The sequence below is a fragment of the Homo sapiens genome, chromosome 1 (genome assembly GCF_000001405.40).
Source record: "Homo sapiens chromosome 1, GRCh38.p14 Primary Assembly".
NCBI classification, from domain to species: Eukaryota; Metazoa; Chordata; class Mammalia; order Primates; family Hominidae; genus Homo; species Homo sapiens.
The window spans coordinates 19,222,365-19,248,643 of NC_000001.11; the positions used below are offsets into that span (position 1 = coordinate 19,222,365).

The window sequence follows — 26,279 nt, forward strand, 5'->3', positions numbered from 1 at the left end:
ACTGCACTCCAGCCTGGATGACAGAGTGAGACCCTGTCTCGAAAAACAAAAAAAAGATGAGAACTGAGAGAGAAGTGGTCACCTTCATAGGTGGCAAAGATGAACTAAGAAACTTTTTCCACCGATATATAGCCCTCCTCACCACCTTTCCCTTACAGGTGGTTCAACAAGGCTCTGCCAGCAATGTGTCCCTTGCTCTGTCCTTAAGTGTGGTTGCCCAAGGGAACCCAGCCATCCCAGAGGCTCCCCAGTCACTCACTCAGCAGGTGTCGGCTGGTGATGCCCCGTTCGGTGATGGTGGCCTCCATGGCACTGATGGAGGACGGGAAGATATAGGACTGCTGGAGGACCTGGGGCAGCTGGGGGCGGTCCAGGGAGCTGAAGGCGGTGGCGTTGTATTGCTCAGTGCCCTCATAGAGCTCCAGTACGGTAAACTCGTTGCGCCGAGCCTTGGTGTTCCAGTACTGGTACTGCAGGGATAGGAGGTGGCAGCTCAGGGCTTAGCAGCTGCTTCAACTGGAAAGGGAAATTGCACTGGAAGGCACCCCTCTAATTAGCTACAGATCCATGAAGGAGAACCATCAACTAGCACCTCACTTTTCTTCCTTACTATCAAGTTTACTAACTTTCAAAGTAGTTTTATCTAGGCTATCGAAAGTTCACCACAAAACAAAGGAAATTCTCAAGAGTCTTAGAAGCCATAATAGTAGCTAACCTTTGAATCATTACTAGGTGCCAGGCATTGTTCTTTGCTAGACTGAAGGTGACTGTTATTATCCCTATTTTAACAATGATGCAACACAGAGCGTGTACATAACTAGTTCAAGGTTATACAGTCAGGAAACGGAAGAGGTAAGATTAAACCTAGGCAATCTGATTCCTGAGCCCAGTGCCCTAACCGGCACGCTTTGCTGCCATCCAGGGAATTTGAGATCCTAAGAAAACCAAAGCAGCAACTGGGTTTCTGGAAAGGACTCAGGAGGCAGGGAGACCTCTGGAGCTACCTTGGGTCCCTGGTAGTGACCGCTTACCACCACCCAGTTCTCTGAATGCACGATATGGACAGGGCCTTTGGCTTTCTTCTGCACAGAGGAGTGAATGATACGCCCAGTGACGCCATCAATGAGGAAGATGCCAATAAAGGTGCGCTCATGGTGCGCGTCTGTGCTCTCTGTCACCACGGCCAGCAGGTTGGGGTTCAGGCTCTGGAGAGAGAGAGAAAACCTCCCTTAGAACCACGACGACTCATCACACACTCCATTCCTGTGCTGTGAGACCAACCTGGAGCTCTCCAGCCTGGCAGAGGAATCAGGGTTTCTGGTGAAAAGAGCTTCCTGTTTGGAATTTCTCATCACTGCACTTGTTTTATGTGCATTGGGTACTGGGTGCCATGCCAGGTACCTTGTATTTTATCTAATCCCTTAAACAGTCTTGCAGAGTAGCTATTATGGTCCACATTTTGCAGAAAAGTCCCAAAGTAGTTAAGCAGCTTTTCAAGTCACAGATAGCAAATGGTAACCCAAGACAAAATCCAGGTCTGCCCACTCATTGACCTAGGGACAAATGCTGCAGTGATATTTTTCTTCTGAGGGTCACCACCCCCCTCCCCATCGCTAAATCCAGTGGCTAAGTCTTGGCCCTCAACTTACTTGACCCACTAGTACCACGTGACGCAGGTGATCACTACCTCCTTGCGACATTTTCTCACCTGGCTTCCAGAACATCCCTGCCCAGCACTCCTTCTACTTTACTGGCCTCTCCTTCTCAGTCTCTTTTGGAGGTTCTTCCACATCTCCCCAGTTTCTTCATGGTGGAACACATCAGAAAGCTCTCAAGCCTTGAGCATTTCCGTCACACTTACCCTCGTGGTGATCTCAAGCCAATCTCATGGCTTGAACACCATTTATGGATGTTGGCAATGCCCAATGTATATATCCAAACCAGATACTCCTTTGAACTCCAGACTTCACTAAGAAATTATCTCAGTATCTTTTCTCAGATGTTTCATCTGAAACTTAACATGGCCCAAGCTGAACTGTTCTAACTCCTGCCTAAAATCTGCTCCTCTCTCCTCCCCAGCCAGTCACGACTCCATACATCAGTGGCTCAGACCTAAAGCCTCGAGTTATCCTTGACTCCTTTCTCTGTAACACACATATACCTGCTCTTGGCTCTACCTTCAAAAGTACCCAGAACCTGATCCCTCCTTCCCACCTCCATGCTACCAGCCCAGCTCCAGCCACCATCAGCACCTGGATGACCCCACAGCCTAAATGGTCTGCTTTCCTCCTCACCCCTCTACAGTCTAATCTAGGTCAAATGAGCCTGTGGAATCTCAGTCACTGATGTCACTCCTCTGCTGAAAACTTCCCAGTGGCTCTTCACCGTGCTCCAAAGTGAAGGCCACGGTGGTGGCCTGTGATCTGGCCCTGTTGCCCTCTGCCCTCAGCAGGCCTGACATGCCTCCTCACTCATCATCTTCTAGTTACCTGGTCTTCTTTGCTGTTTCTCACACATACCAGGAGCACTTTGACTTTTCTCTCTGGAAGGCTCTCCCCGCAGCTACCCACACAACTCACTTCCTCACTCAAGTCCACTCACTCCGTGCCACTTTCTCACTAAGCCCCTCCTTAGCCACCCGACTTACACTGTACCTGCTTTCCCTCTTCCCGGCTTTATTTTTCTCTATAGAACTGGTCACTTTCTAATATACTATCTAATTTACCTATTTATTTTCTTTATTATTAGCCTCACCCAACTATGATGAAAGCCTCACGAGGTCAGGAAGTTTTGTCTGTTTTGCCCATTTTATATCCCAGTGTCTAAATGAGTGCCTGCATCCAGCTAGCACTCAAAAACTGCTTGCTGCTGGCCGGGTGCGGTGGCTCATGCCTGTAATCCTAACACTTTGGGAGGCCAAGATGGGAGGATTGCTTGAGCCCAGGAGTTTAAGACCAATCTGAACAACACAGCAAGACCCCATCTCTAAAGAAAATAAAATAAGTGCCTGGGCACGGTGGCTCCCGCCTGTAATCCCAGCACTTAGGGAGGCCAAGGCGGGCAGATCACGAGATCAAGAGATCAAGACCATCCTGGCCAACATGGTGAAACCCCATCTCTAAAAATACAAAATTTAGCTGGGCATGGTGGTGCGCGCTTGTAGTCCCAGCTACTCGGGAGGCTGAGGCAGGAGAATCTCTTGAACCTGGGACGTGGAGGTTGCAGTGAGCCAAGATCGTGCCACTGCACTCCAGCCTGGTGAAAGAGCAAGACTCCATCTCAAAAAAAAAGAAAAGAAAGAAAAGAAAATAAGCCATGGTGACATGCACCTGTTGTCCCAGCTGCTTAGGAGGCTGAGATGGGAGGACTGCTTAAGCCCGGGAGGTCAAAGCTGCAGTGAGCTGTGATCACACCACTGCACTCCAGCCTGGGCAACATGGCAAGACCCTGTCTCAAAAAAAAAAAAAAAGAGTCAATAGCACTAATAATAATGTTAAGTATGTGGCAGGCACTATTCTAATCACTTTACATGTTATCATTAATCTTCAAAACAATCCTCTGACGTTGGTGCTATTATCCCCATTATACTGGGGAAAATTGAAGCTCAGGCAGCCTAAGAGATGAACAGCTAGGCCACGGCAGAGCCAAGTCTTAACAGTCAAACTAGAGGCTTGCACTGTGTTGCACTGGCTCATGCTTAGTGATCCAGCTTTACCGTCAAGTTCCGTGATCTCTATTCTATGACACCCCCTCCAATTCAGTCTCTGCTGTACCAGAGGGTGTAATTAATGTGCATTACTACTATCATTACATTCTCTCCCATAACAGTTTTGCAGCCCACTAGTCACCTTAATCTCCCTCTCTTTAACACTAACTAGAGTGTTGGATCACAGAGATGGAGTTTCTGATGGCTCGACTATGGTTTAACCCCAGAATGCTCTATCAGTACTACCACTAGTAATAAGAGCTGGGCTAGGCGCAGTGGCTCAAGTCTCTAACCTCAACACTTTGGGAGGCTAAGGTAAGAGAACTGCTTGAGGCCAGGAGATAGAGACCAACCTAGGCAACATAGTGAGACCCTGTCAATATAAAAATAAAAAATTAAAAAAAAATTTTTTTTTGAAGACAGGGTTTTACTATGTTTCCTAGGTTGATCTCTATCTTCTACAAAAATAAAAAATTTAAAAAAAATTTTTTTTGTTTGTTTGGAGACAGGGTCTCACTCTGTCACCCAGGCTGGAGTGCAGCGGCACAATTGCAGCTCACTGTAGCCTCAACCTCCCCAGGCTCAGGTGATCCTCCTACCTCAGCCTCCCGAGTAGCTGAGACCACAGGCATGCACCACCATGCCCAGCTAATTGTTTTTTTTGTTTTTTTTTTTTGGGGGTGGTAAAGACAAGGTTTCAGCCATGTTGCCCAAGCTGGCCTCAAACTCCTGGACTCAAGTAATCCACCCACCTCGACCTCTCAAAATGCTGGGATTACTGGCATGAGCCACCAAGCCCAGCCGTTTTTAAAAAATTAGCATGACATGTGCCTGTGGTTCCAATTACTTGGGAGACTGAGGTGAAAGGATTGCATAAGCCCAGGAGGACGAAGCTGCAGTGAGCCATGACTGCATCACTGCACTCCAGCCTGGGCAACAGAGCAAGACTCTGTCACAGGAAACAAACAAACAAAAAAAAAGTCAAAAAAATAAGAGCTAACATCTGTTGCTTACTTACCATATGCTAGGCACTGGGCTAGACATGAACATCCCATGTGATCATCACAACAAGCCCAGGAGGAGGGTATATTATCCCCATTTCACAAACAAAAATTAAGGCTCAAAGGGATTAAATGACTTACTCAAGGTCATATATGTACCAAGTCCTACAGCCAGACTTGAAGCCCTTGTTTTCCTGATTCGAAAGCCCTTGCTGTAGACCAGACAGCTGGCTGTATGTACCTTGTAGAGCACACTGCGGTCCCCCATCACACGGCCCTGGGAATGAACGTGCTCACTGCTGCGTTTCCCCTTCACCTTGACGATCCGCTGTACTTCTGGGGGAATGGTCAGCTCCCAACTCAGCTCAGTGGTGAGATCCTAGGGCAGGGGCAAAAAAGCCTGTAATCAGGAGGGTACACTTAGAACTGAAACAGCTGGAGTTAGACACATCCTACAGTTCATTATTTGAGGCCTTTGTGCAGGAAGGAATAGAGATCAGAACTAGAAAAATGAGCCAGGAGCAGTGGCTCATTCTTGTAATCCCAGCACTTTGGGAGGCCAAGGCGGGCGGATCACTTGAGGTCAGGAGTTCAAGACCAACCTGGCCAACATGGCCAAACCCCATCTCTACTAAACATACAAAAAATTAGCCAGATGTGGTGGCAGGCACCTATAATCCTAGCCACTCGGGAGGCTGAGGCAGAGGCTGCAGTGAGCTGAGATCACGCCACTGCACTCCAGCCTGAGTGACAGAGCAAGACTCAAAACAAAAAATAAACCAGAAAAACAGCAATAGAGATCTAGTTTATGAAGAAATTTCAGAACTCTCGGTTTGATTAAGATAGATACTAGACCGGGCGTGGTGGCTCACACCTGTAATCCCAGCACTTCGGGAGGCCGAGGCAGGTGGATCACCTGAGGTCGGGAGTTTGAGACCAGCCTGACCAACATAGAGAAACCACATCTCTACTAAAAATGCAAAATTAGCCGGGTGTGGTGGCGCATGCTTTTAATCCCAGGTACTCAGGAGGCTGAGGCAAGAGAATCACTTGAACCCAGGAGGTGGAGGTTGCAGTGAGCCGAGACTGCACCATTGCACTCCAGCCTGGGCAACAAGAGCGAAACTCCGGCTCAAAAAAAAAAAAAAAAAGATAATAAAGCCAGTAGGAAAGGAGGCGAACGCTCAATAGTATCCCGTTGTTTATCTGAGTAGGAAATATGCAAGGAAAATTTACCATTTATTACTAAACTCCAAGATCCCTGTATACTGGGGCCAGCAGTGAATGTCTAAGCTAACAGGGAGCTCAAAACATTTCGTGTATGATTGTTTATGGTCATAGGAAACCAACCAATAAACACTCATGGTTAAATACATTATTATACATCCATCCTATGGAATTATGCGGAGCCCTTGGGGGTGGAGACAGGAGGTAGTTACTGGCAAAGGGCACAAGGGCCTTCTAGGAGCTGGTGCTATTCTGTTTCCTGAAGTGGTCACCAGGTACACAAGTGTATTCCCTTGGTGAGGGTTCACTGAGCCATACCTCATGATTTTGCACTTTTGTCAATATTTTTCTGTAATAAAAAACTGAAGTTGACAAAACAATGAGGTAGAAAACCCATTAAATGAAAAAAAGCAAATTTCATAAGAATAAATATAGGTCAATTGCATGTGAATGAGAAAAAAAAATAAAATGGGCCGGGCGTGGTGGCTCACACCTGTAATCCCAGCACTTTCGGAGCCCGAGGCGGGAGGATCACTTGAGGTCAGGAGTTTGAGACCAGCCTGGTCAACATGGTGAAACCCCGTCTCTACTGAAAATACAAAAATTAGCCAGGCATGGTGGCGTGCACATGTAGTCTTGGGAAGCTGAGGCAGGAGAATCGCTTGAAACCAGGAGGCAGAGGTTGCAGTGAGCTGAGACTGCGCCCCTGCACTCCAGCCTGGGTGACAGAGCGAGACTCTGTCTCTAAAAAAAAATAAATAAAGTATGAGCCACACACGTGTGTCCACACAGCTGTTGATAGGGAATCATAAATACACAAGGACAGTAGAAAGAGGCACAGCAAACTGCTGACAGGCTTTCCACCTGGGGAGGGGAAGACCGCTGGGAATGGGGCTACAAGGGTCTGTTCACATTTTGCTTGTTCACCTCTCTGTATCAATGGACTCTTTTACAATGAGAATATACTCAATGTATTACCTAAATTTTTAAAATAGTGAAAATTATTAATAATAAGCCTTCATTGCCACAACCTTCTTTGAAAACATAAGAACTCACTAAAACATCCCCAGAGAGGAAGGTCACCAAGTGAGGGCAAAGGCAGCACACTCCCTTGTGGTCCCGGACTCGCGCACACAGCTGGCTCACTTCCCACAGACAGCTCTGCCTCCTTTGTCTTCCTTGGTCATTGTTCACTCAGATGATGTCCTCAGGACTCCAGATTCATGACACCCACACTCCAGTTCACTCCCCTGAATCTACAAAACTGTCTCTTTCAAGGTCCTCTTTTTATTAACTCAGAAGGATGATTTTATTTATTTATGTTTTCATTCACAAGGGTAAAGGATGTGTCTTCTGGGCAGACCATTTCCAGTGCTGTTTATGCTAAGGTTAGCTGTTACAAATGTCACAAAAGGGCGCTGCATTTTCAAAACAACAGCACCTCCAACTCAGATGGCATTTACCATGTGCCAGGCAGTTTTATGTGATTTATGTGTTGAATTCTCACAACAACCTTATGAGACAGGTACTTATCACCTTATTTTACAGATAAGAAAACAGAAGACCAGAGCCCAAGGTCACAAAGTTAGTAAGTGACAAACCTAGACTTCCAATCTAGCAAATTGGTTAAACTCTATGCCTCTCAAAAGGCCTTACAGGACAGGATGGGAGAGCTGTTTGTGAGTACACACCACAGAGTACTTCTCCAAACAGTCCTGCTAACAAGGCCATGCCAGCCCCTCGTGAACTTCAGAGCTGGACTTCACAGCCAGCGTGTATTACTGTTTACAAGAGTTGGTCTCAAGTATGTGAGGATTAAAGCAAACTGACCCCCTTTCTAGAAATAAAATTCAAAGCACACATTCCATCACGAGTTGGTCAACATCATCTTCATATAAAAGTACAACTTATTACTCAACCCACATTCCTACCTTCTACCCTCCCAAGAATGGAAAAAAAGTCCCATCTCTCTGCTATAGAAAAATAATGGGGCCAGGCGCGGTGGCTCACGCCTGTAATCCCAGCACTTTGGGAGGCTGAGGCAGGTGGATCACAAGGTCAGGAGTTTGAGACCATCCTGGCCAACACAGCAAAGCCCTGTCTCTACTAAAAATACAAAAAATTAGCCGGGCGCGGTGGCGCACGCCTGTAATCCCAGCTACTTGGGTGTCTGAGGCAGGAGAATCGCTTGAACCAAGGAGGCAGAGGTTGCAGTGAGCCGAGATCGCACCACTGCACTCCAGCCCGGGCGACAGTGCAAGACTCCATCTCAAAAAAAAAAAGAAAAAGAATGTGGAATGAAAGCTCCACAAGGGCAGAGATTTGTTCTACTGTGCACCACTCCATCCACAGCACCTAGAACCGTATCTGCCATGTAGTAGCTGCCCAACAAATATGAACAAATGATTGACTTTGTATCAGACATCAGGATTATGCTAATCTAAGTTTACAGTAGAATGAGTAGCATAATTCACTTCTTAGCCAAATGGCCAGGAAACACCTGCATCTCATCCACAAAGGGTTGTGCCAGGACATGCCTTCCTACCTTTCGAAGCCGATATCCACACAGCCGTCCCTGCTCTGCATCCACCAAATAGAAGAAGATGGAAGGGGCAAGCTCATGTAGCTGTCGCAAGACATTCCGAGTGGCTGGAAAAGCTGTGACCTTGAAAAACCCAGAGAGCCCAAGGAAAGAGTTAGGAAATTTCCCCATCAAAGAGAGCCTTAAGAATAAAACTGCAAATCAGTTGATTTGAACTCAGTTTAGGGTTTACATTCAGTTCTGTTAAGAACCTGAGTTTTCACAAATGCAGACACAGCCATCATTTCTCTTCGGGATGGCCTTAGAGCCCAAACACGTGCTGGGTGCAGAGAGCACTCCATCTCCGGGCCGCTGTGTTTGACCACCTGGCCCCAAACCGGACTCCGCTAGCATGTTCTCCATCCCCTCTGAAGACAGTACCTTGTATTCATCATCTATCAACAGCAACACCTTGGCGTAGTCTTGATCCATGACTGGGAGAAGCAAGGACTGCAAGATGGGGCGCTTCAGCACTGGGGGAGCTACCTGACTCCACTTCCCAAAAATGGGATTGAAGACATACAGAGAACTCATTCCCGACTCCTAAAATGAGCAAACTGTCAGGCTCCACCAACAAGAAAAGACTGCAAATCCTAGGGATAGACCTGAAGAGCTGGGACTCCAGCTCAACAACTGTGGGGGTTCTCTAGTCTTTGCCCTCTTTGTGGAAAATAAGTTCTTGGCTGTAGGTGAATAGTCCCCTAGGCTAACGTCACAAAGAAAAAAGTCAAACTGTCTCTGCCAGTTCTTTTTCGTTTGAGACAGGGTCTCTCTCTATCACCCAAGCTGGAAGTACAGTGGCATGATCAAGGCTCACTGCAACCTCTGCCTCCCAGGTTCAAGTGATCCTCCCACCTCAACCTCCCAAGTAGCTGGGACTACAGGCACAAACCACCACACGTGGCTAATTCTGTTTTTATTTTTTGTAGAGAGGGGTTTCACCATGTTGCCCAGGCTGGTCTCGAACTCCTGGACTCAAGCAATCCGCCCTCCTTGGCCTCCCAAAGTGCTGAGATTATAAGCGTGAGCCACCGCGCCTGGCTGCTCTGCCAGTTCTAAACAAGAACTAATAAAAAAGTCAAGTAACAATTCAGCAACCTGGCCGGGCGTGGTGGCTCACACCTGTAATCCCAGTACTTTGGGAGGCCGAGGCAGGTGGATCATCTAAGGTCAGGAGTTTGAGACCAGCCTGGCCAACATGGTGAGACCCTGTCTCTACTAAACATACAAAAATCAGCCGGGCATGATGGCGTGTGCCTGTAATCCCAGCTACTCGGGAGGCTGAGGCACAAGAATTGCTTGAACCTGGGAGGTGGAGGCTGCAGTGAGCCGAGATCGCACCAGGCAGCCGTTCCAGGAAAGTGTCTACCAAGCCCGCCTTCTATGCTAGAATGAATACACAAAAATCCATTCTAATTCTGGGAAGACACAAAAATATCTTTGTGTCCTGCTCTTCCTCAAAGAGAGAAGAGAAAATAGCCACTCAGCAACCAACAGCCAATGTTTAGAAAAGAGGAGAGCTGGCTCCCTACATAGCTGGTGAAGTCACACCCACTTTCTAAACAATTCCACATCAGTGCTGGATGGTTCCTCCACCCATGCATGAAACTAGAAGAAACAGAGTTCTAACCCCTGAATGTTCCTCATTAACTCACACAATTCCAAGGGCCTAGGAGCAATTTAAGTTACAAAATAGCAAAAAAGCCACACTGAGTCTGGCTCAAGTCAGAGCTGGATGCCTCACCTTGTCCTTCACCAGCAGGGTGCACTGTGGGGGATGGGGGAAATGAGCAGTAGTTCTCTGGACCATCAGTTTAAAGGAGGAGTCTGGCTTGACATTGGGTAGATACTGTTTCCACAGGATGGTGCCAGAGCTGCTCTCAATGCCAAAAAGCTGCAAGATAAACAAATACTTGGCTCACTACTAGAAAGAGAAACCAAAGAACTGAGTCTGTCCTTGAAAACTAGAACCAGTGTTATCCCTCACTGAAGGCTTTTTGTTCCTCACCCTCAGAATTTGAAAAGGTTCAGTAACTGGAGCTTAAACCCCACTCACCTTGCCTGAGGCTGTTACCATCACCATCATCTTCTGGAGGTTGAATTCATCTCTGGCCAGGGTGTCAATGTTGATCTCATTCTTAATCTGACTCCGGGGCTTCCGAGCATCATAAAACATTTTCCAGAGGTGGGAAGTCCATGCTTGCAGCAGGATAAGCTGAGACGAGAGGCGTTTCAGGAACATCCCCAGCAAGCCATCTGGTGTAAAGGAAAAGTAACATACTCTACATCAGACTAGGGGTCCATAAGGAGGTACATGATTTTCCTAATGAGGGATCTCTGCCTCTCCTCTGGAGCAATAAAGTCCACACTCTAGGCCACAAGCCCAAAGGGCAGTCCTGTATCTGATGCCCAAAGTCTCACACTCAGGTGAGGCTCATGCAGGAGCTTCCAAAAACTGCTTAACTGGCTCTTAACAACTAAACCCAGCTGGAATCTTGGAATAGGAGACTAAGAGGTCAGGGATCAGGCATGCAGGAGACAGCCATGCTGTGAATGTCTCCACCACAGCCCCACATCCAAGATGCTAAAAGAAGGTTTCTGGGTGCCATGACAAAGCCAGAAGAGGTATGAGTGTGGGGGTGGAGGGTGCAGGTCAGTGAATATGTATCATGAGCAGGTACTTCCATCTCCCATTGCTTCATTCCTACTTTGTCAGCTGTTTAACCTGCACCCAACAGACGTACTTGCAACGAGTTCCCAGGACCATCATTCACTCTTTCCCTGATTCCGTCAATGAAGCCACTGCCCTCCAAATCTCCTCCATTGGAGACCACAGATTTGTAAACAGATGCAAGGAAGCAAGGTAAAGAGCATGGTCTCTGGAATCTAGCAGGCCCAGATTAAGATCCCAGCTTCACCACTCACTGCGGGGTAACACTGAGAAATGTACTTCACCTTTTTGCTTCTGGTTCCTCATCTGTAAAGTGGCATGTAACCCACTGGACTGTTCCAAAATTACATCATACGATGTACATAAAGGATTTAGCGTGGTGGCTGGTACATGGTAATAACTCACTAAAAAAGGAGCAGAACCTCTGCTTATCTTATTTTCCACCCACCTCTGCTCAAGGAAGAGAAGTGAGAAGCAACAGGACAACTCACAAGCATGGCAGTCAACACACACACACACACACCCCAAGGATGTACCTCATTGGTCCAAGTTAGGAAGAAAAACAATTAACCAAAAGCTAGCCATGTGAGCAGGCAACGAGCAACAAGGCAGCAAGAAGCAGGTTTTACCTTGAATTGCTGGATCCAGGCAGCAGAAATAAACAGTAAAGTCAAATTAATCCTCAGCTTAAGAAAATGTGCATTGCCTAGCAGAGTGCCTGGTCCAGAGCAGGCCCTCAACAGCTATCCGTTGGAGGGCTGGATGAATGGAGAGAAGAGAGAGGGTGGGGGGCAGGACTGAATCAGAGCAGAGTGAATCAAGTTCATCCTGGCAGTTGGGACCATGGCCAGCTTTAGAGGGCACTGGGCTGTTTCCACAATACCCAGATCAACCCAATGGTGTCTCCAGACAGATATGGCTGCTGCTTTAGGGACAATGAGTATAAGGTGCCTGGCAAATTTTTAGTACACAGGCAATGGTAGCTATTACAATACCAAGTTAAGACTTTATTCCCCCCAGGCGCAGCAGCTCACGCCTGTAATCCCCAACACTTTGGGAGGCCAAAGCTGGCAGATCATGAGGTCAGGAGTTTGAGACCAGCCTGACCAACATGCTGAAACCCTGTTGCTACTAAAAATACAAAAATTAACCGGGCATGGTGGCGCATGCCTGTAATCCCAGCTACTCAGGAGGCTGAGGCAGGAGAGCTGCTTGAACCTGGGAGGCAGAGGTTGCAGTGAGCCAAGATCGCGCCACTGCACTCCAGCCTGGGTGACAGAGCGAGACTCTTGTCTCAAAAAAAGAAAAAAAAAAAGACTTTTTTCCCTCAGCTTTCCCTAGAGGGATTTTTCCCTAGCTTTCCCTAGAAGGATTCACAGTTCATTCTTTCACAGAAAAGAATGGTTTCATAAACCATATGGCCATGAATGCACCGGAACCTCATCACAGAGCTCATTCAGAAAAGACTAGCAATCTGCCCAGCCTAGGAAGCCAGAGATGCATGATACAGTGTCTCTTGTGGTCATTTCCAGACTGGCCCCTCCAGCAACTCTGCAGCTCCAACCTCTTAGGTTCATACCTGCCTTTTTGCCAAATTCTCCTTCCAGCTCGGCCTGTGCCCCAGTCAGGGGGAGGTCCACCATCTCTAGGCACACCACTTCTGCCAGGGACTCCTCACGGCTCCACAGCACCACCTTCCCTGCTACAGGAAACATTTTTACAAAGCTAAGCCTGGGGCTGGGCACAGTGGCTCATGCCTGTAATCCCAGCACTTTGGGAGGCCAAGGTGGGTGAATCTCTTGAGCCCAGGAATTTGAGACCAGCCTGGACAACAGGGCAAAACCTTATCTCAACAAAAAATAAATATCAGGGCTGGGCACAGTGGCTCACGCCTGTAATCCCAGCACTTTGGGAGGCCAAGGCGGGCAGATCACGAGGTCAGGAGATCGAGACCATCCTGGCTAACATGGTGAAACCCCTCTCTACTAAAAATACAAAAAATTAGCCAGGCATGATGGTGGGCGCCTGTAGTTCCAGCTACTCGGGAGGCTGAGGCAGGAGAATGGCGTGAACCCGGGAGGTGGAGGTTGCAGTGAGCCGAGATTGTGCCATTGCACTCCAGCCTGGGCGACACAGCGAGACTCCGTCTTGAAATAAAATAAAATAAAATAAAAATAAATAAATATCAAAAAATTAGCCAAGCATGGTGGCGAGCGCCTGTAGTCACAGCTACTTAGGAGGCTGAGATAGGAAGATCACTTGAGCCCGGGAGATTGAGGCTGCAGTGAGCTATGATCACGCCACTGTACTCCAGACTGGGCAACAGTGAGACCTTGTCTCAAAAAATAAATAAATAAATAAACAAAAGCTAAGCCTGTCTCCCAGATTTTCTAGAGAGACTCTTCTCGCTGACTCAGGGATTACTACAAGCTCTTGCATAAAAGGAGAAATGGCAGAGCAAGGGGCTGGAATCAATAGGTCAAAGGAGGAAAGTTCTGTATCCCACCGAGAATGCCAAGTTATTCTTCAAAAGCAGGTAACGGGGCCGGGCATAGTGGCTCATGCCTGTAATCCCAGCACTTTGGGAGGCCAAGGCGGGCAGATCACCTGAGGTTAGGAGCTTGAGACCAGCCTGGGCCAACATGGTGAAACCCTGTCTCTTACTAAAAATACAAAATTAGCGCCTATAATCCCAGCTACTCAGGAGGCTGAGGCAGGAGAATCGCTTGAACCAGGAGGCAGAAGTTGCAAAGAGCTGAGATTACACCATTCCACTCCAGCCTGGGCAACAAGAGCAAAACTCTGTCTCAAAAAAGAAAAAAAGAGCCAGGCACGGTGGCTCACACCTGTAATCCCAGCACTTTGGGAGGCCGAGGCAGGTGGATCACCTGAGGTCAGGAGTTTGAGACCAGCCTGACAAACATGGTGAAACCCCATCTCTACTAAAAATACAAAATTAGCCAGGCGTGGTGGTGCATGCCTGTAATCCCAGCTACTTGGGAGGCTGAGGCAGGAGAATCACTTAAACCTGGGAGGCAGAGGTTGCAGTGAGCTGAGATCATGCCACTGTACTCCAGCAGTCTGAGCAACAAGAGCAAAACTCCGTCTCAAAAAAAAAAAAAAAAGCAGGTGACAGGCCAGGCACGGTGGCTCACACCTGTAATCCCAGCACTTTGGGAGGCCGAGGCAGGCGGATCACTTGAGGTCAGGAATTCGAGACCAGCCTGGCCAACATGGGGAAACCCTGTCTCTACTGAAAATACAAAAATTAGCTGGTCGTGGTGGCACACGCCTGTAATCCCAGCTACTCAGGAGGCTGAGGCAGGAGAATCGCTTGAATCCGAAAGGTGGAGATTGCAGTGGGCCGAGATCATGCCACTGCACTCCAGCCTGGGCAAGAGAGCAAGACTCTATCTCAAAAAAAAAAAAAAAAAAAAAAAAGCAGGTGACATTTGGCTATGAACGAAACACTCAGGGCACACTCCACTTGAATCTCTTCCAGAAACCTGCAGCCTCCCAAAAAACAGTCTGATTGGAACACATTGGAAGGCCTGGGGAAATAAAAAAATGGGTTGAATGAGGTCTACTTACCCAACTGCTGCAGGAAAAGTAGCAGATGATCCTCTGTCTGCACCAAAGCCCGGTAGCCCACTGAGTCATCCTTCTTCAAGAACACCTGGATATACAGCTATAAGCCACAGTCAAGACCGGTGTAGTCAGTGAGGATCCAAATGCCTCTGAGAGCACCAGACCCCAGGAGTCAAAGCCTGGACTTAACAGAGGTACAGGCCATGGCATTATTTGATGTCTAAACAATGTAGCTATTATCTGGATGCCAGTAAGTGATACATATTCTTAGGAGCCAACATAATGATGCTGGGGTCTCCCAGACCTTTCCATGGAAGAACCTGAGTACTCCACGGGTACCACGCCATTCATCCATGCTCTAATCACACCCCACAAAGTGAGCAGGAGGCCGGGATTAGACTTTCCGCTTTAGAAACGAAGAAGCCACAGCCCAAGCAGCTGAGGAACACAACCAGATGCACACAGAGGCAATACTGGGTAGTGATGAGGAGTCCAGGCTGTGGGGTTAGACCTGAATCTGAACCGCAGTGACACCTCTTACTGGCTCCGTGACTCTGGCTATGGTACTCGATCCCACCAGGCCACAGAATCATTTTAAAACCAGGTCAGGAACAACCGCTTCATGAGAGTGTTTGGAGGGTTAAATCAATTAATGTGTAAGTTAAAAGCTTAGAACAGTCCCTGGTGCACAATGATGAGCTGGCATAAATAATACCCGCCTTTACTGTGACTTCTAACAAGTCAGTGGCTCAGAGAGCACTAGAACACATGTTTAGAGAGCCTAATCCAAGCCCCATGGCTAAGACCTGGCCCTGAGGAAAGGAAGCCATGTGCTGAGAAGCCCACAGGACAGTCTGCAAAGAAAGGCTCTGCCTTACCCGCTCAGGCCGAGTGCCGCTCTGTTCCAGGCTAAATGTTATCGTGGTGTCCAGCAGCCGCCGACCTGTCTCCACGAGGTATAGGTTAATGGTGTAGGTCTGATTGAAGCAAGCCAGAGAGTCCTAGGAGTACAGACAGCACGTGTCAACTACAGGTATCCCCCGAAAGCAAAGCCCACCAAAGGAAGTCCAAGGATTGGGGGCAAATACCCTAGAGAAGGAGCCAGGCCAGAAGGGGAAATATATGCAAAGGAGAATAAAAGAGAAAAGCAAGCTAAATCCTAAGGCAGAAATAAGGTGCCTGAGTAAATAAATGAAATTACAACTACCATACTTGTCTTGGAAGCCAGTACAGAGTAGCAGAGACTTCTGAGAGAGAGGTAGGGCTGAGCAAGGTAAGACTGAGCAAGACAGGAGGCAGGGAAACGCTTAGATGGAAGCCACAGCAGGAACCTATGCCTCCAGCCAGGGGCTCATGCCTCTGCTACAGGGTAACTGCACAGAGTACTACTCAACTGTGCCAGCCAGGATCCCAAAAGAAATGGGGACGCTGAGGCCCAGAGGAGAAAGTGGCTAGAAACAGACTCTAGGGATTCTACCTCCTAATCTCCCGGTAAAATGAGATTAAGAGAAACATCATTTAATTTACAGTACTTAGGAAACCTCATTTGAAGCTGGGAACTCTAGGACCTGCTCCTAACCAAAGCTCTTCCCCCAACTCTCTTTGGTGGCCTCCTGCGTCTCTAGGTCTGGCATACTGCCCAGTGCCACACCATACCTTTGAACTAGACTTCTCCGAAAAGCTCCCCATTGACCCATCTTCAGAACTGCTACTTTTCTGCTATGAGAAAGAGAAGGACAGGAGAAAATTCAGCCAAAGGGTCACTTCCCAGTCACTGAAATGAAGCTTTTGTTTTTGTCTTCTTAGCACTTGAGAGAAGACAAAGCTCATTTCTCACCCCTGCCCACAAAGCCTATTCAACCCTTAATAGCCCCATATGAAAGTAAGGTCATCACATTAGGGTCTCGTTCCTGGGGAGAAATGGGGTGTGCAGAAAGCTCTATAGTTGAGGCAAGACCTCACTTCTCAACAGCCTCCTGCCCGCTGGGTTCAAACTGACCAGGTCAATGTGCCCAGACTTCTGATTTTCAGGGTTCCTAGTGGAGACCAGGAAGGAAAATCCCAAGTGCTGACTGTTGTTCTCAATACTCACCACTTCATTCCGACAGGCCATGACTGCAGCCACCGTCTTCTCCCCAGTGGTGGCAAAGCTCACTAGGGCAGTCTGGGGGAAAAGCAAGGCATCAGCTCCTAAATGGGACCAGTACTAGCCAGCTGCCTTACAGAGGGTCACCTCTCCAGGGAAGGCCCTTGGCCTTAGAGTTGAAAGTGCTCCCCACTTTGGAGCAGAATGGTCAGGCATTTAAGAGCAGAGGGAGGCCTCAGTTGCATCTACAGCTGAAAACAGAACTCTCCCTACCTCCAACGCAGGCACAGGTCAATCTTAAATCCCATGCTGCTTGTTCTTACTATCTATGGGGAAGCTCTCATTTATGTCCCCATATTTCCTTTGGACTAAGGAAGGCACTAGTTTTGCTCTAAAGATCCTTTGTAATACTCAGGAGGAAATACACCATTTCTATGATAAGGCTACCTACCCCCTCTCAAACCACTTACGGGAAGGTGTCATCAATCTTGGGCCTAAGAGCAAACGTTTCCAGATTCAAAAGCACTGCCTTCTAGCATCCATGTCTTGGAGAGATCTCCTGAATCCTAGCAAACCATGTTGCCTGCAGTTACCTGTGGGAAGTTTTTAAGCAAACTCAGCGTTCCATAATGGTACTGCAGCAGAGCATAGTGGCTTGGGGACAAGTGCAGGAAGAACTGGGCCCGGGAAGCGTCCACTGGGTTGGGCTGGGTAGGCAGGACCCGGGGTTGGAATCCACTTCCAAATTCTAAGTCGAGAGACTGGAAGGCAAGAAGGAGGAGGATTATGGCTAACAGCTGACGACTCCCTGACCCATCCCAGGCTCACAACCTCTGCCCTACTTTGCCGGGGGAAGTAACTGGGCCATGGCAGGTGGCTCCAAATGCTCCAGTTCAAGTTCCCCAAAGAGGAAAGTGACTGATTTCCTCTTACACCAGTTCAGCCAGAGGCCTGAATGGCTTCCACTGCTCAGGAAGAGTCTAGGAGAAAGACCCTCCAGGGGAATCATGCCAAACTTTCTACTCCCCGCAGGAAATGCCTCAGGCCAGAAGAAGCAGTGGCAGCCTCTCACCTGCAGTGGGATCTGTCTCAACTCCCATTCCGTCTCCAGAGCCAAAGTTTGGAGGGAACGTGAGCTCGGGTCAGGACACACCAGGACAGCCTCATCCACCACACCACAGGCTCCAGACAGGTGCTGCAGCCACGGAGTTGAAACCCTAACCTACAGAAAAGTCATCGTTAACAGGAAGCTCGTGAAAGATTTTTACATTTCCCTCTCAGCCCAACAGCAATATTGCTGCCAGCATCCCACTGGGGGTCCTAAGCTCAAAGGTTCTTCATGGTTGGTTGTATAGGAGTTCTTCCTGTCCCCTGAAACCCCACCCTCCAACCTCCTGAGAGCCTTCAAAGTTGGAAAAAATATCAGGATTTTCTTTCTGGTCACTGGAAAAATATATCCGATAATTTTAAATACCTGGCACTTCAGAATCAGCACTTCTTTACTATATTTGCCATATGTGGTGTCCTACTGTGATTTCACAGCACTGTAAGATACTTACAGGCAGAGACTAGATCTATGTAATTTTTTAGCCACCCCAGAAGATAACACATGCAAATATGAGTACTTTAAATAGAGGCCTAATGGGAAGGCAGCTGGCAAGTGACCAGAATGAGGGAGCATAAGTAGCTTTTGCATCTGCCCAGCCAAGTTCCCTGTTCCCCAGTACAAAGAAATCTATCAAGTCTCCCCCAACCCCACCTTATTCACAGGCTCCTGTCACCCTCCTGTACCTGCTGAACAATCTCTCCATCTTCCACATTAAACTTGACAATGTTCACATGGCTGAAGGGAACAACTCCGAGGGCCCACACCACCCCAGAGCCGTAAGAATACACCATCTGGTAGTGGATGCTGTCACTAAGAGAGGGAAGAAGAAACCGCAGCGTCAGCTTTCAACCCAGGACAGGATTATCCTCAGGGGCTGCCAGGCCTCAGCCAGATGTCACAAACTAGTAATTCCCAAATAGGTTTTGTTTGGCTCACACAGTTTGGGGGCTTTTGTTGTTGTTGTTCTTAATTTGAATTAGTTGTCAACATTTAGAAGATATTATACTTCACAATCAGATTTCTAAATTTTCCTACGGTTAGAAGATGTGGCAACACTAGGCCTAAATACAGAGCACCAATCAGGTGGGTAAGGCTGCCCCCTCCAGGCAGGCCAGGAGCACTGCAGCTCCCATCCAGCCAGTGTTGCTCATGGATATTTCATAACCCGCCTCATAGCATTTTCTTTGTTGTGTTTTTTTTTAGACAGCGTCTCACTCTGTCACCCAGGCTGCAGTGCAGTGGTGCGATCACGGCTCACTGCAGCCTCTACCTCCCGAGGCTCAGGTGATCCTCCCACCTCAGCCTCCCAAGTAGCTGGGATCACAAGCACGCACCACCATGCCTGGCTAATTTTTTGTACTTTTTGTAGAGATGGGGTTGCCCAGGCTGGTCTTGAACTCCTGAGCTCAAGTGATCTACCCACCTCAGGCTCCCAAAGTGCAGGGATTACAGGCGTGAGACACCATGCCAGGCCAGAATTTGAAGTTTTGAGTCCTGCTCTAAACTTTGAAAATGGCCACAGGGTGTCTAAGTAGATCCTTTTATCTTGTTCCTTCTCTCTTGTTCCTTCCCAATTTCGATGCTTTCTACCAGCAGGACCTCGAGAAACCATTTCACACCTCACTCAGCCTACCCTGGGTCTTCTTGAGTTGTTCTAACTCTTAATATGAACGAAAGGCTCAGTCAGAACTAGAACTAGAACTAGAACTTGAACTAGAAGTCAGAAGGCACAAAGTACCATAACCATGAGCGAGTGAGTGGCTCCCGTAGCATGGCTCGCCCTAGCACCCCAGTTTGAGAGTGTTCTCCTCAGTGCAAAGGAAACTCCAGGCATACTCCGGAGTTTCACCCATACTCACAGCCTTCAAGATATTCTGAGTGCAACACACTCCATGGAACACCAACAAGAGACAGGCCTGGGTTAAAGCAAATGCTTCGGGTCCCTCGAGGAGAAAGAGGAGCTCCTAGAGAGTAGAACGAGGCAGCTATTGCCTGTGAGCAGGCAGCCTTACCTTTCTGGGAGATGTTCCACCCACTTGAGGTGCCCACTGGAGAGGTGATGGAGGGCAAGTGTAGTCTTCTTCAGGACTGCGATGTACCTTACAGACTCCTGCAGGCCAACCAGCCCAAGTGCCTGGAAACTGAACACAAGTACAGGTTGAGAGCAGCCCACACCTGCAGAGCCTCAGGCTGGGAGAGACAGTCCAGAACAGTACCCACTGTTGCTTAGTGGGTAAGAAAACAGGCTTTGGGGTCAAACACAGCTGGATCCTAACCCTGGCTCTGCCTCTTGTTAGTCAACTTGAGATTCTGCACTTGCAACCATTTGGCCACACTACTTGCTTCCCTGAAACCATCTGTATCTCCTAAGGGCTGTTCCCTCCTTCCCCTGGGACTTCACAGCAACTGGACCTACCCTCTGCCACATATCCATGAGACAGTGCTGTCATTACTGTGCTACCTGCCTGCCTCCCAATGGACAGCGGAATCCTCAATGACAGCAACTGTCTCACAGTCCCATGTGTTCTCATCGCCTGGGGCTCAGCACGTGTTTACCAAATGAATTACTATCAGAAAATGTATAAGCTAATACAAATGACCCTATCATTTGAACAACTTTAGGGGCCAGGCCCGGTGGCTCATGCCTGTAATCCCAACACTTTGAGAGGCTGAGGTGGGAGGATCACGGGGTCAGGAGTTCGAGACCAGCCTGGCCAACATGGTGAAACCCCGTCTCTACTAATAATACAAAAATTAGCCAGGCGTGGTTCACATGCCTATAATCCCAGCTACTGGAGAGGCTGAGGCACGAGAACTGCTTGAACCTGGGAGGTGAAGGTTGCAGTGAGCCAAGATCACACCACTGCACTCTAGCCTGGGTGACAGAGTGAAACTATGTCTCAAAAAACTCAATAAATAAAAATAAACAACTTTAGCAAAGATGTTAACAATAGGTCAGGCTGTTCTTTAAACAAAACTAAACAGTGGAAGTTTTATATTATGTTCTTATATCTGGAACATTGCAAAACTCACGAATCACAGTGAAATTAGGAACAGCATTCAAGCACAAGCGCAAACATTGCACCTAGAAACTCTGCATCTAACAGGCGCTCAATACATGTTGGCTGAGCAAGCATATCCACAATGGGTACTCAATGTCAATGGCTGGCTCTTCAGTGGTCCCTGGGAAAAAGCCAAAAGCCCAGAGTTGCTGTCTATGCAGATCTGTGTTCCGGTGAAGCCTTTAACTCAGTCAAGATAAAATCCAGTTTCTCCCCTACCTGCCACTGTCCAGGGTTATCTCCCAGTTCAGGCCCCCGATGTTAGTCTCCCAGGAACGCATGATTCGGCCTCCATTGGACACAGTGATCACATCTGGAAAAGAAAAGATCGTGGTGAAGTCATTTCCCACTTGCTCTGTCGCTTCCTAGGGTCCCACTGTGAGCAGTGGCCTCACCTCTGATTTCTGGATGCAAATACATGTTAAACAGGTACCTGTCCTTCACTGTCAGGAGTCCCCAGTCTCCTTTCCCTACCAGACCCTGTACAGATCAAGGAGCCAAGGAATGGGACAGGGAGCTGGCCGCACAATGGAGACACGGGAGGACTCTGCTTACCCTGTCCGTGCAGCAGCATGGCATCCACAGCCCCTTCTGCCGTGCCCTTGTCAACATGGCGCCACACTGAGAGACATGAAAGTTAGACATTACTATGAACAAAAGGTGGCAACCCAGAAGACTAAGAAATAAATGAAGAGCTCTTCATTTGCACAGCAATGTCCAATTTTATCTCGAGGGAGTGAAGGAGTATAGCTAACTGGCAGTGATCCAGTCCCATTCACGGGGTAATGAGGGTAGAAGGGGTTAAGAGGGGCCACTACTGTCCAGGCCCCACTACCACCCCATCAAACATATAAACAAACAACAATAAGATTAATAAAATCCATCCAATTCACAAGAAAAATAGTGATCATAAATTCTATTTCCCTTATTTTAGTGCCTAAAAACATCCGGCCAGTGTAGGTAATTAAGTGAGGGTATCTGAGAGTTTACTGCAAAGTAGAATAATGTGTTTTTTGCAGCAGCATCTTTTTTTTTGAGACAAGGTGTTGCTCTATTGCCCAGGCTGGAGTGAACTGGCATGATCACAGCTCACTGCAGCCTCAACCTGCTGGGCTCAAGCAATCCTCCCACCTCAGTCTCCCAAGTAGCTGGGAATCTAGGCACACGCCACCATGCCTGATTTTTTTAATTTTAGACATGGGGCCTCACTGTGATCCCCAGGCTGGTCTCGAACTCCTGAGCTCAAGTGATCCTCCCGCCTGGGCTTGCAGCAATATCTTATTTAAGGACACTCAGGATTCAAGCTGAGAGAACAAACCGCAAAGGTCAGTTATAGGAACATACAAATATTCAAAGATGGTAAGACTGAAAAAAAAAAAGTATCAGAATCCACTAGGAGAGGCATCTTTTGGCCAACATGTTCCTTATTCAGGAATCAGCCAGGCAGAGTTGGCAATGGTAAGTCTTTCATCCCTGAGGCAGCCAGTAGACACAGTTCTCAGTTCACTCACAGATCTCCCCAGTTCGGGAATTTAATGCTGCAATCACATTCTTCTCTGTGGCTACAACCAACTTCTTGGATCCAGGGGAAAATTCCAAGGAGGCAAACTTGACCTTCCCAACATATTGCTGTCTCCTGAGAAAAAAAGAGTACAGGGGACCATAAGGAGCTAAAATCACCATTCCACAAAATGCTCCGGAAAAAAAATCACAGGGCTATCACCATCACATTCATTTTAGGACACATAAGACGTGTTTGTTAGCTGGGCGCAGTGGCTCACACCTGTAATCCCAACACTTTGGGAGGCCGAGGCAGGCAGATCACCTGAGGTCAGGAGTTCGAGACCAACCTGATCAACATGGAGAAACCCCGTCTGTCTCTATGAAAAATACAAAATTAGCTGGGCATGGTGGCGCATGCCTGTAATCCCAGCTACTCGGGAGGCTGAGGCAGGAGAATTGCTGGAACCCGGGAGGCGGAGGTTGCAGTGAGCTGAGATCGCACCATTGCACTTCAGCCTGGGCAACAAGAGCAAAACTCCATCTCAAAAAAAAGAAGTGTTTGTTAGTGAAGAGCTCTGACCAAAAGCAAGATTTCCATTCAATGTAGTCAGATGCAAAGAGAGTAAGAGAAGAAAATTAGCTCCTAATAGATAATACTAACTCTTCCTTCTAAATGGAAGCACATATTTACCTTCAGATAAGTGACACCCAAAAGGGCACCTTACCTTTCTTTTTTTTTTTTTTGAGACGAAGTCTCACTCTTGTCCCCCAGGCTGGAGTGCAATGGTGCAATCTCAGCTCACTGCAACCTCCACCTCCCAGGTTCAAGCGATTCTCCTATCTCAGCCTCCCGAGTAGCTGGGATTACAGGCACCTGCCACCACGCCCGGCTAATTTTTTTGTATTTTTAGTAGACATGGGGTTTCACCATGTTGGCCAGGCTGGTCTCGAACTCCTGACCTCAACTGACCCACCCGCCTCGGCCTTCCAAAGTGTTGGGATTACAGGCGTGAGTCACCACGCCCGACTGAGATCACAGCACTTCTTAACAGCACAGAGCAAGCACCTCCTTTGTACTTGGTAGCCTACCATGTGAGGCTAATAATTTTCTCGATTAGGATCGCTTGAGCCCAGGAGGTCGAGGCTGCAGTGAGCCGAGATCACACCATTGCACTCCAACCTGACAAGACTCTGTCTCAAAAAAATAAACAGGCCAGGCGCAGTGGCTCACGCCTATAATCCCAGCACTTTGGGAGGCCAAGGTGGGTGGATCATTTAAGATCAGGAGTTCGAGACCAGCTGGCCAACTTGGTGAGAACCCATCTCTACTAAAAATGCAAAAATTAGCTGGGCGTGGTGGCACGTGCCTGTCATCCCAACTACTCGGGAGGCTGAGGCAAAAGAATCGCTTGAACTCAGGAAGCAGAGGTTGCAGTGATCCAAGATCGTGTCACTGAACTCCATCCTGGGCGACAGAGTGGGCCTCTGTCTCAAATAAATAAGTAAATAAAATACTGTTGTTTTATCTGGATATAAAAGTAATGCCTCCTTATTACAGAAAATGAGTGGGTGGGGGGAACACTTATAACAATTTAAAAATCTCCACCAGGCACGGTGGCTCACACCTGTAATCTCAGCACTTTGGAAGGTCCAGGCATGCCGAACACTTGAGGTCCGGAGTTTGAGACCAGCCTGGCCAACATGGTAAAACTCCATCTCTTATAAAAGTACAAAAATTAGCTGGGCGTGATGGGCACCTATAATCCCAGCTACTTGGGAGGCTAAGGCAGGAAAATCGTTTGAACCCTGGAAGCGGAGGTTGCAGTGAGCCAAGATCATGCCACTGTACTCCGGCGTGGGTGACAGAGCAAGACTCTGTCTCAAAACAATAAAAAATAAATAAATAATAAAAATTTTAAAATGTAATATATCACTCTTCTGGATTGAATTGTATCCTCAAAAACTCCTGTGTTGAAACCCTATCCCCCAGTGTTACAGTATTTGACGGCAAGGCCTTTAAAAATGTAATTATGTTTTAATAAAGTCAAAAGGGTGAGGCCTTAATCCAATAGAGGAAGAGACATCAGGGATGTGTAAGCACAGTAAAGGCCATGTAAGGATACAGCAAGAAGGCAGCCTTTTGCAAGCCAATGAGCGAGGCCTCAGAGGAAACAAAACCTGCCAATGCCTTGATCTTGAATTTCCAGCCTCCAGAACTGTGAGAATATCAATTTCTATTGTTTAAGCCACCTAGTCTATGGTATTTCATTATAGCAGCCTGAGAAAACTAATACAACCACCACTATAGATACACTTTTTATTATTTGAGATGGGATCTCACTGTGCTGCCTAGGCTGGATTGAACTCCTGGGCTCAAGTAATACTCCCATCTCAGCCTCCCAAGTAGCTGGGATTTCAGGTGCATGCCATTGTGCCCAGCTTTGTACATATACTTTTAACGTTTTACTATACAGTCATGCACTGCAAAACAATGTTTCAGTCAATGATTGATCGCATATACAGCATATACAGTGGTGGTCACACAAGAGTATAATGGAGCTGAAAAATTCCTATAACCTAGTAACATTGTAGCTGCTATAACATTGTAGTCGAATGCATTAATCACGTTTGCGGTGAAGGTGGTGTAAACAAACCCACTGTACTGCCAGCTGTATAAAAGTACAGCATATTCAATAATGTATACTACATAATACTTGACAATGATAATAAATGACTGTGTTACTGGTTTACGTATCTACTTTTTATGGTTAGAGTACTCCTTCTACTTATTAAAAGAAAATTAACTGTAAAATAGTCTCATGCAGGTGCTTCAAGAGGTATTCCAAGCTGGCCGCAGTGGCTCATGCCTATAATCCCAGCACTTTGGGAGGCGGAGGCGAGCAGATCACCTGAGGTCAGGAGTTCAAGAACAGCCTGGCCAACATGGTGAAACCCCATTTCTACTAAAAATACAAAAATTAGCCAGGCATAGTGCTGTGCACCACAGTCCCAGCTACTTGGGAGGCTGAGACATGAGAATCACTTGAACCCGGGAGGTGGAGGTTGTAGTGAGCTGAGATCATGCCACTTCACTCCAGGCTGAGCGACAGAGTAAGACTCTGTCCCAAAAAAAAAAAGAGGTATTCCAGAAACAGGCATTGTTATCACAGATGATAGCTCCATGGGTGTTACTGCTCCTGAAAACCTGCCAGTAAGACAGTATGTGGAGGTGGAAGACAGTGATATTGATGATCCTGACCCTATTTAGGCCCAGGCTAATGTGTTTGTGTCTTAGTTTGTTTTTTGTTTGCTTGTTTTTTGAGATGCTCTTACTCTGTCACCCAGACTGGAGTACAGAGGCACCATCACAGCTCACTACAGCCACGACCTCCCAGGCTTAGGTGATCCTCCCACCTCAGCCTCCCGAGTAGCTGGGACTACAGGCACCCACCACCATGCCCGGCTAATTTTTGTATGCTTTGCAGAAATGGGGTTTCGCCATATTGCCCAACCTGTTTTTTGTTTTGTTTTGTTTTGTTTCTGAGATGGAGTCTCGCTCTGTTGCCAGGCTGAGTGCAGTGGCGTGATCTCAACTCACTGCAACCTCCGTCTCCCAGGTTCAAGTAATTCTCCTGCCTCAGCCTCCCAAGTAGCTGGGACTACAGGCGTGTGCCACCACGCCCAGCTAATTTTCGTATTTTTAGGAGAGACGGGGTTTCACCATGTTGGCCACGATGGTCTTGACC

General features: G+C 47.7%; 1 protein-coding gene and 1 long non-coding RNA gene across 8 annotated transcripts in view, besides 1 other annotated feature; one reads left to right on the top strand and one right to left on the bottom strand.

Annotated features, from left to right (window-relative positions):
• Nucleotides 1–18,340, top strand: part of EMC1-AS1 (EMC1 antisense RNA 1) — a 30,319-nt gene extending 11,979 nt beyond the window's left edge. The window contains exon 2 of one of the 2 annotated variants that reach the window (NR_135114.1): nt 17,893–18,340. This is a non-coding gene — a long non-coding RNA (EMC1 antisense RNA 1). Of the gene's footprint in view, nt 1–7,482; nt 7,800–17,892 lie in introns of those variants that run through there. The other variant, NR_135115.1, reaches the window with a different exon arrangement.
• The window catches only part of EMC1 (ER membrane protein complex subunit 1), a 35,865-nt gene that overhangs the window by 6,705 nt on the left and 2,881 nt on the right, over nt 1–26,279 (bottom strand). The window contains exons 2-21 of one of the 6 annotated variants that reach the window (NM_001375821.1): nt 22,542–22,666; nt 21,586–21,651; nt 21,250–21,343; nt 19,981–20,109; nt 18,652–18,778; nt 17,933–18,082; nt 17,454–17,621; nt 16,867–16,938; nt 16,431–16,490; nt 15,653–15,775; nt 14,778–14,874; nt 12,766–12,888; nt 11,816–11,824; nt 10,572–10,771; nt 10,260–10,409; nt 8,897–9,058; nt 8,480–8,599; nt 4,949–5,086; nt 1,032–1,205; nt 260–470 (exon numbers count right to left, since the gene is read on the bottom strand). In NM_001375821.1, coding sequence (NP_001362750.1) covers nt 260–470; nt 1,032–1,205; nt 4,949–5,086; nt 8,480–8,599; nt 8,897–9,058; nt 10,260–10,409; nt 10,572–10,771; nt 11,816–11,824; nt 12,766–12,888; nt 14,778–14,874; nt 15,653–15,775; nt 16,431–16,490; nt 16,867–16,938; nt 17,454–17,621; nt 17,933–18,082; nt 18,652–18,778; nt 19,981–20,109; nt 21,250–21,343; nt 21,586–21,651; nt 22,542–22,666 — 2,498 coding nt within the window. Of the gene's footprint in view, nt 1–259; nt 471–1,031; nt 1,206–4,948; nt 5,087–8,479; nt 8,600–8,896; nt 9,059–10,259; nt 10,410–10,571; nt 10,772–11,815; nt 11,825–12,765; nt 12,889–14,777; nt 14,875–15,652; nt 15,776–16,430; nt 16,494–16,866; nt 16,939–17,453; nt 17,622–17,932; nt 18,083–18,651; nt 18,779–19,980; nt 20,110–21,249; nt 21,344–21,585; nt 21,652–22,541; nt 22,667–26,279 lie in introns of all 6 variants that reach the window. The other 5 variants (NM_001375820.1, NM_001271427.2, NM_001271428.2 and 2 more) reach the window with 5 other exon arrangements.
• Nucleotides 13,345–13,515: a silencer, noted in NCBI's record as "fragment chr1:19562203-19562373 (GRCh37/hg19 assembly coordinates)". NCBI's record gives its function as "represses an EF-1alpha promoter that drives an FKBP-Casp9 reporter gene in an ReSE screen in HepG2 liver carcinoma cells and K562 erythroleukemia cells {active_cell/tissue: HepG2 | K562}" and the evidence as "EXISTENCE:reporter gene assay evidence [ECO:0000049][PMID:32094911]".